This window comes from Homo sapiens, chromosome 5, assembly GCF_000001405.40.
Source record: "Homo sapiens chromosome 5, GRCh38.p14 Primary Assembly".
NCBI lineage: Eukaryota > Metazoa > Chordata > Mammalia > Primates > Hominidae > Homo > Homo sapiens.
This window is the reverse complement of record NC_000005.10, coordinates 155013367-155021366: the sequence shown is the minus strand read 5'-3', so window position 1 is coordinate 155021366 and position 8000 is coordinate 155013367. Positions and strand designations below refer to the sequence as shown.

The 8000-nt window shown below is 45.8% G+C and overlaps 1 protein-coding gene across 1 annotated transcript; it reads right to left on the bottom strand.

Annotated features, from left to right (window-relative positions):
- Positions 1 to 3225: 3225 nt before the first annotated feature.
- KIF4B (kinesin family member 4B) lies at positions 3226 to 7612 on the bottom strand. Its single transcript, NM_001099293.3, has one exon. It carries the CDS (start codon positions 7505 to 7507, stop codon positions 3803 to 3805), a length of 3705 nt encoding a protein of 1234 aa, NP_001092763.1. The 5' UTR covers positions 7508 to 7612; the 3' UTR covers positions 3226 to 3802.
- Between the last annotated feature and the right edge of the window lie 388 nt (positions 7613 to 8000).

Below are 8000 nucleotides of genomic sequence, written 5' to 3'. Positions count from 1 at the left end.
GCACCAAGACCTCAGCATGCCTTGCTAGACAATATTAGTCATAGTCTCTTAAACATATCTGTTATCCCATGCCAGTGACAAGTGTCTCAGCCTCCAGAAAGCGTATCTTTTCAAGGGTCTTCCATGACTCAATCCATTGGTATATATAAAGTAGGTATATTTTTTCTGCAAATTTTTAACATGTATCTAATTATGCCACTCTACTGAGTAAAACTCAAGTCATTCCATACCATCTTTAGAAGAGTTCAAATGCCTTAGCATGGTATATAAAGCCAACAATGCCTGTCTCTCCAGCTCCATGTCTCACTGTGCTTTAAAACTCTAGTTCCTGCTGTCCACATCCCATTCTCCACCACACTCCACTACTTATGATTCATTCACTGAACAAAGTATTCTGTTCCTTACTTCTGTAGCTTTGCCCACTCTGCTCCCTCTGCTAGAGTCACCTTCTATATTTTGATAAACACCCATTTATCTATACTCAACACCAGTGTCAGTTACTTTAGGCTATCGGCACATGTAGATTTTCTCTTGATGACAACTCTTTTATTTCCAAGTAACAAGTCATTCCAACTGGTTTTAAATGGGCAAAAGATTTAAACAGATATCTTATGAAAGAAATTTTCCAACTGGCCAAATAAGCACATGAAACTATGCTCAATAAAACTAGTCATAAGAGAAATGCGAATTTAAACCACAATGAGATACCATTTTACATACTTTAGAATGTCTAAAATTACAAAAACTGACCATACCAAGTGTTCACTAGTATGTGGAAAAACGAACTCTCTTACATTGCTGGTGGGAGTATAAAAATGGTGTAGGTACTTTGAAGAACTGTTTGTCGGTTTCTTCTCAAGTTAAACATACATCTACTCATGACCCAACATTTCAATTCCCGAATATTAATCCATGAAAAATGAAAACATATGTCCACAAAATGACTCATAAAGGAATATTTATTACATCCTTATTCATAATAGCATAAAATGGAAATAATCCAAATACCCACCAATAGGAGAATGATAATCAAATTGTTATATATTCATAATATTGACTACTACTTAGCCATATAAAGGAACCAACTACTGATGGCAGTGGCTGCTGCCATCATGCCGGCTGCAGCAGGGAAGCGGGACTGGGGCTGCACATTCCATGGAGTCTGTGGGAGCCCTGCCCCTTCTGAGTTGAGACGGGAGCTCTCCCTGCAGCTGCAGCCACCCAACCTGCAGCTGCAGACCCAGGCCTCCTGCTCTACAAAGCAGGCAGGAGCCCCGCCCTCCTGGAGCTACAGCCGCCCAAACGTCAGCTGTGGATCCGAGCCTCCCTGTGCTCTTGGCGAAGCCAGGGACAGGCAGGATCTGCACCCCCAGGTGCAGAAGCATCTGCAACACCGGCAGCTGCAGACCTGGGCCTCCCACTCCAGGAAGCAGGCATGAGCTGGGCTGAGTTGGCGGGGCGGAAGCTCCCGGGAGCAGCTGCGGCCGCCCTCCCAGGCGCAGGACCCAGGCATCTCTGCAGCCTGCACCCTCCGGGGCCCCAGGAAGTCTCCCACCCCACCCCCACCCCACTCCCAGTCCCTGCAGGCTTGGGGGGTGTCTGCTTCCACTGTCTGGCCCCTCTTTGCCCTGCTCTGGTCTCAGAGCAGGGGTTGGGGCCGAGCCCCGGGGCCATGAATGACAGCAGGAGGCAGATTGATTCCTTGGCGGAAGGGGACAGGGTCCCCAGTAAGGCCCCACCCTCAGGCCAGGGAGGGCCTGAAGGCTGGGGGCTGGGCTGCCAGTCCCGCGGACTGGAGTGGGAATTCGTAGTGCCTCTTCCGGCTCCCCATGGCCGCTCATGGACCAATCAGCACATACTTTCTCCCCTTTGAGGTCCATAAAAGCCCTAGGCGCTCAGGCAGAGCAGGCCAGAGGACAGCCAGAGGAGGGAGAGGGCAGAGAGACGACGAGGGGACAACCAGCTGCAGAGCGGAGCACTCGCTCCGATGATAGCTGGAGGTGATGGGACGACCGGTGCAGAGAGTAGTACTCTCTCCACTGAGAGCTACAGAGACGACCTGCCGGCAGAGAGGAGCGACCCTCTCAGATGAGAGCTTCAGAGACCTGTAGAGACATCCAAATGACTTGTCTGCGGAGAGGAGCCACCCTCTCCAGGGTCTCCTCTCTGCCGAGAGCTGAACAGTTGATGGAACAACCTGCTTACAGAGGGAGCTACCCACTCTGAGCTGTTCTAATACTAGATAAAACTATTCACCCTTCACTTGTCTGTGTACCTCATTCTTCCTGGACGCTGGACAAGAACCCAGGCAAAGGTGCTGTGGCCACAGAGGTTTCTGGCCAGAAAAATCTACACCCCAGAGATCCCGTAACACTACTAATATACACAACAGCATGAATGAATCTCAGAAAACATGATGTGATTATATTATCAAAACCAAAGACATCATAAGAAAATGAAATGAAGAATTATATGCCATAACCTAGTAGAATGTATCCCAGGTATGCAAGTCTGGTTCAACATTCAAAAATCAATGTAATCACCTCAGCAGGCTAAAAAAGAAAAATTAACACGATCGTATCAATAGATGCAAAAAAAGCATTTGACACATCCAATACCCATTTATGATGAAAACTCTCAGTAAACTAGGAACAAAGTTGAACTTATCTTGATAAAGAATATCTACAAGAAACCTACAGCTAACGTCATATTTAATGGTGAGAAATTGGAAGTTTTCCCACTAGGATACAGAACAAGTCAAGGATGTCCTCTCTCTCCACTTTTTTTCAACATTGTACTGAAAATATTAGCTCACGTCATAAAACAAGAAAAGGAAATAAGTATACACATTGGGAAGGAAGAAATCAAACTGTCTTTGTTAATGGCCAGGTGCAGTGGCTCACGCCTGTAGTCCCAGCACTTTGGGAGGCCGAGGCGAGCAGATCAGTTGAGGTCAGGAGTTCAAGACCAGCCTGGCCAATATGGCAAAACCTCGTCTCTACTAAAAATACAAAAAATTAGCCGGGCATGGTGGCATGAGCGTGTAATCCCAGCTACTTGGGAGGTTGAGGCACAAGAATCACTTGAACCATGGAGGCAGAAGTTGCAGTGAGCTAAGATCACACTACTGCACTCCAGCCTGGGCAACAGAGTGAGACTCTGTCTCAAAAACAAAACGAAACAAAACTTATCTTTGTTCACAGATGGCATGATAGTCTATGAGACTTTTTTTTTAACAGTAGATGGGCTAAGGTTTATTTACTTAACATTTAAAAATAATTCATTTACTTCAACAACATGGCATACAATCAAGAGTACTATTGAAACACTTACAATTCAGAGGGGGTCAGGACAGGAAAGATCACAACCCCATTCCCGAGGTGGAGTGAAAGATCTGAGCCAGACCTCCATCCTAGGCCAGGCTCCTCCATTAAGCAGAGACAACCAAAAGATAAGAAAGCCTTGGCCTCATCCCCATCAGGAGATAGCCTGAACTGCTCACAAATAAGAAGGAACTTGATCATACTGAGGACTGGTTCCTGATGAGTCATTAGGAAAGTCTGTTGGTTCTCTCTTCAGCAGGTGGTTTAGCAGCCTTCTAGAGAGCAGAGAGCAGTAGTCTGGGGATGGAGACTGAGGGACAACATCCAACAAAGGTTACCTTCTTTTTAGTAATGCTTTGTTCCTTTTTTTCAACGGCAAGAAACCTGAAATCCAGAGAAGTCATTTAAAAAACCCCTTCTGGCTGCAACTGGAAAGCATCTCCCAAGCCAGATTGGGGGTAGAGATGATGACTCCAACTTCAGTGGGCCTCTTCTTCGATAGGGGAGCAGCCAGAGAAGAAGCTGGTGTTGCTAGCCAGAGCTCGTTTCTTTTTCTTCCCTGGAGGCTTATTTTGTTGGTATTCTGTTGCTCCATGTTTCGACTCTGGGAGGTCAAAAGGGGAGGGAGCTGGAGCAGTCTTCTTTGACAGCACCTGCTCCATGTCACACATCTCTTTCAGGATCTTGCTATTGGGGGTGGCACAGACAGGGTTAAAGAAGCTCAATCCTGGGGTCACCTCGGTAGGATCCTCCAGTTTGAAGGAGCCTTCGGAATCCTGGGTCTGTTCAACAGTGCCCAAGCTATCCTTGCCTTGCTGGCGGTTCCGACACTTTGTGGGGTCACAGCTACAGTCCACACCACAGTCTGACTTTTGCTTCCTGCACCCACACTGCTTGTTCCCACACCAGCCCTTGCAGGAACACCCTTGGATGTTCTTCCTGGACACCTTGACTAATTTTGTTGGCTTCCATTCCTCATCATCCCCCTCATCACTGTCGCCATCACCATCACCATCTTCATGCTCATTCACAGAATGCTCTGAACAATATTTTAGATCCTCGATGTCCATGCTTTGCTCCAGAAACTTTTCTTTAACACGAGAAGGTTTTGGCTTAGGTGGGATATATTCAAAAGAAGAGTCTGGAGATAGAAGGGTATCATTAGGAAGATGTTTCTGTCTGCTGGCTACCTGGAGGAGGATCAGTTTCTGCTTGATGATTTCATTCTCTTGGAGAAGCTGCTGATTTTGCTCACACACTTCTCGCATCTTCTCAAGTTCTTCATCCTGACACTGCAGTGTGCTCACCAGCTGTTGTTCCTTTTCACTGGCTGATTTCTCTAACTGCTTCTCTGCCATTTGGCTTTCCTGCAGCTGGCTGACAAGGTATAGCACCTTCTCTTGGTGCTGTTGCTCCATTCTGACCAGCTCAGCTTGTAACTCTGTCTCTATCTCAGAAAAATGATTTTGTTCCTCAAATAGCATCTTCTGCATGTCAGCACAGCTGGCCTTGCTCTGTCTCAGGCTGTTTTCAAGTTTGGTGACATGTATTTTGGAGGAGACCAGCTCTCCAATCAAATATTTCAGGGCACACTTGGCTTCCAGAATGGTGGCAATATTCTCCCAGCATTGTTTTGGCCTATCTTCACTTTCTGCATCCAGCAGCTTCTGCTGTAGGTCAGCAATCTGAGCACTCCTGAGTTCCATTTCAGTCTCTAGGCTTTCAATCTGTTTTGTAATACAATCTTCTGACTCCAAAACTTGACCATGCACCTCAGAAAGGGAGAATGTACACTTCCGGAGTTTAGGAGGTGGATTCTCCCGAGATTCCTTTTTTTCTTTGAGTTGAACCACATCCTGAGCCAGGATCTTTCTGTCTTCAAGGAGGTCATTCAGATGGCGTTTGGCTTCCTCAGTACTGACCATAACCTCAATTTCATTTCCAAGCCAATTCCTCACTCGAGCTGCAATACCTTCCTTTCCATGGCTCTGAGTCTCTTTCCGCTTATCTGTGACCTCTCGTTGTTTCTGGAGAGCATCCTTGAGTCGCTTGTTGGCAGCTGCTGCCTCTTCCGTTTTACGTCTGAGCACACTGGATTGTTTCTGGAAGTTTCTTTCAAGTTTGAGCAGCTCATATTGCCTCTTACGGTCTCGTTCTTTCAACTGTATTACTTCTTTGTCTTTTTTCTGCTTCCATTGTCTAAACTTCTCAGCATCCTCTTTCATTTGACGCATTAACTGTACCCGCTGGTTTTTCATCATCCATATCTCTTGGTTCAGCTTGGAGACAGTACGCTCTGTGGATTCCTTTAGTTTCAGAAGTTTGGACTGCTCATTCAGTTTCTTCTTCAGATCAGCTATTTGACCCTCCAGCTCCTGGAGAAGTTTGTGGCGGTGCTCACTCAGCTTGGCTTGGTTGACATTCTTCTTTGCTGTCTGAAGTTCACGAACCAATTCTTCCTTTTCCTTTTGCAGATTGATGACTTCTAATTCTAGATTTTTTATGTTATCCTGGTATTGAAACTGAATGGGCTGTAGTTGGTTGTCGTTCTGAGTCATCTTCCTAACTAGGGCCTCTTTCAGTGCAAGGGCGTTATTCAACTCAACCACCTCCTTAGACATCTGAGCTTGATGGAGAGCATGCTGAGTGGTAAAAGCGTCAGAAGACCTGCTTGTCTCTGGACTGGTTTCCACTTGAGCTTCTTCTTCTACCGCAGTATCAATGGCTGCAGCCGTGCAAGCAACAGTTTCATCTGATAACTGGGTAATCAGTTGCTGCAGGTTACAAATTATCTCTACATTTTCTTTCAATTCCTGGTCTTCCAAAGTCTCCACTAGCTTTTGAAGATCCAGCTTGCAGGCCACATGCTGCCTGAGCTCTTCTAGCTTGGCGTTCAGTTTTTCATTCACTTGCTCTGTCAAAATGATCCTCTCCAACATCTGGGCTGTCTGACCAGCTGCCTTGCTCAGACAACGACTTAATTTTTCATTCTCCTCTACCAGGGACTGATTCTTCTCCATCAGGGATTGTAGATTCTCTGATGGTTCTGCATTTATAGATCCAGGCAGGGTACCTCCATGGGCTTGTAGCAACAAGACTTGTAGCTGTTGTACCTGTTGCTTTAGATGATTAAGTTCAGCTGTGTGGGGATCAATATTAACAATAGGTTTGTTCTTGATTTTTCTTGCTCTGTCAGCATAGCGAAGGGTACTTAATGTTTCCTCTAGATTGGAGTCAGCAGGACTCACACAGGCTATCATAAGAGTGTGGCTGTTACCTCCTAGAGAATCTTGCAGCAGTCGAGTTAACTTGGAATCTCTGTAGGGCACAAAGCTACCCTTTTTGTCATCTCCAAGAGCACTGATTACATTTCCCAAGCATAGGAGGCCTCGGTTAATATTAATACCCTCTTTTAGACGATCCCCTTCAGCCTTGGTTTTCTTCTGTCTTTCTGATCCAGCGAGATCTACAAGATGCAGCTTGGAGCGAAAGCTGCAATTCTTGTCACTTTTCTTTCTTTGCTCTATGGAGATTGTAAAGATGGCATGAGATCGGGACGACTGGGAGTTCATAGCTGTGGAGGCCACAGTCCTAGAGTTGTTGCCCTGCTCCAAACAGGAAACAGTATCCAAGGCAACTAAAACAGTCTTCTCAGTGAGTCCCACAATCTTTATGCCTTCCTTAGGATCCTCCCGTATATTTATTTGAGCTTTCTCACGAGATGGGCATAGAAGATCCAAAATTTCTTCATTGTAAATCTCTAAGTAAGACACTTTCAGAGTAAATTCAAAGTCACTCTTTTTATCAATTTCTTTGAAGAGCAGTTGTATTACCCTAGGAATAATGCCAACTGTTGGTTCATTCTCCTGCTCCGCAGTGTATGCACCTCCCATTGAATAGGTTTTTCCAGAGCCAGTCTGCCCATAGGCCAGGACCGTTGCATTATATCCTTTAAATATGCCTTTTATGAGCGGCGCTACTGCTTTATTGAAGACTTCTTCCTGCTCAGTACAGGGGTCAAACACAAAATCGTAGGTGAAGGATTTATCAGTACCAACCACCACCTGAGTCTCCCCGGGCACGAAGGAAAGGCACATCTGGCAGCCCTCGCTAATCTCTTTGGGGACCAGAGGGCGACAACGCAGTGCCACTCTTACAGGAATTCCCTTCACCTCTTCCTTCATGATCCTATCTCAGCACCGTCTCAAACTAAATGTCCCTTCCCCGTTCACCCGGGGTCTCCCGCCGCCCTGTCCCAGCCGGAGCTTTAACCGCCAAGTTTCAAATCCCTCCCAGAGACACCAACCAATTGCAGTGCAGGCGGCCCGAGGGCGGAGCGCGCACGTCCGCGCGCGCAGGCCAGCACGGTGGGAAGGGGAGGGTAAATCGAGAAATTTCTTTTTAACCAACAACAGAAAAATGTCCTGGAACTAATAAGTGAGTATAGTATAAACTTAAAGGATACAAGGTTAATACACAAAAGTAAATTGGTTTCCTATATACCAACAGTGAATAAGTGATATTCAGAATTGAAAGCACAATACCACTTACATTAGCACTTAAAAAATGAAATAGGTATAAACCTAACAGAATATGTATGAGATCTACGTGATGAAAACTACAAAACTCTGATGAACAAGATCAAAGGGGAACTAAATAAATGGAGAGATATTTTAT

What these genes read in the sequence shown, in the direction of transcription:
- KIF4B (NM_001099293.3), bottom strand. Translation starts at nt 7,507, where the DNA reads ATGAAGGAAGAGGTGAAGGGAATTCCTGTAAGAGTGGCACTGCGTTGT.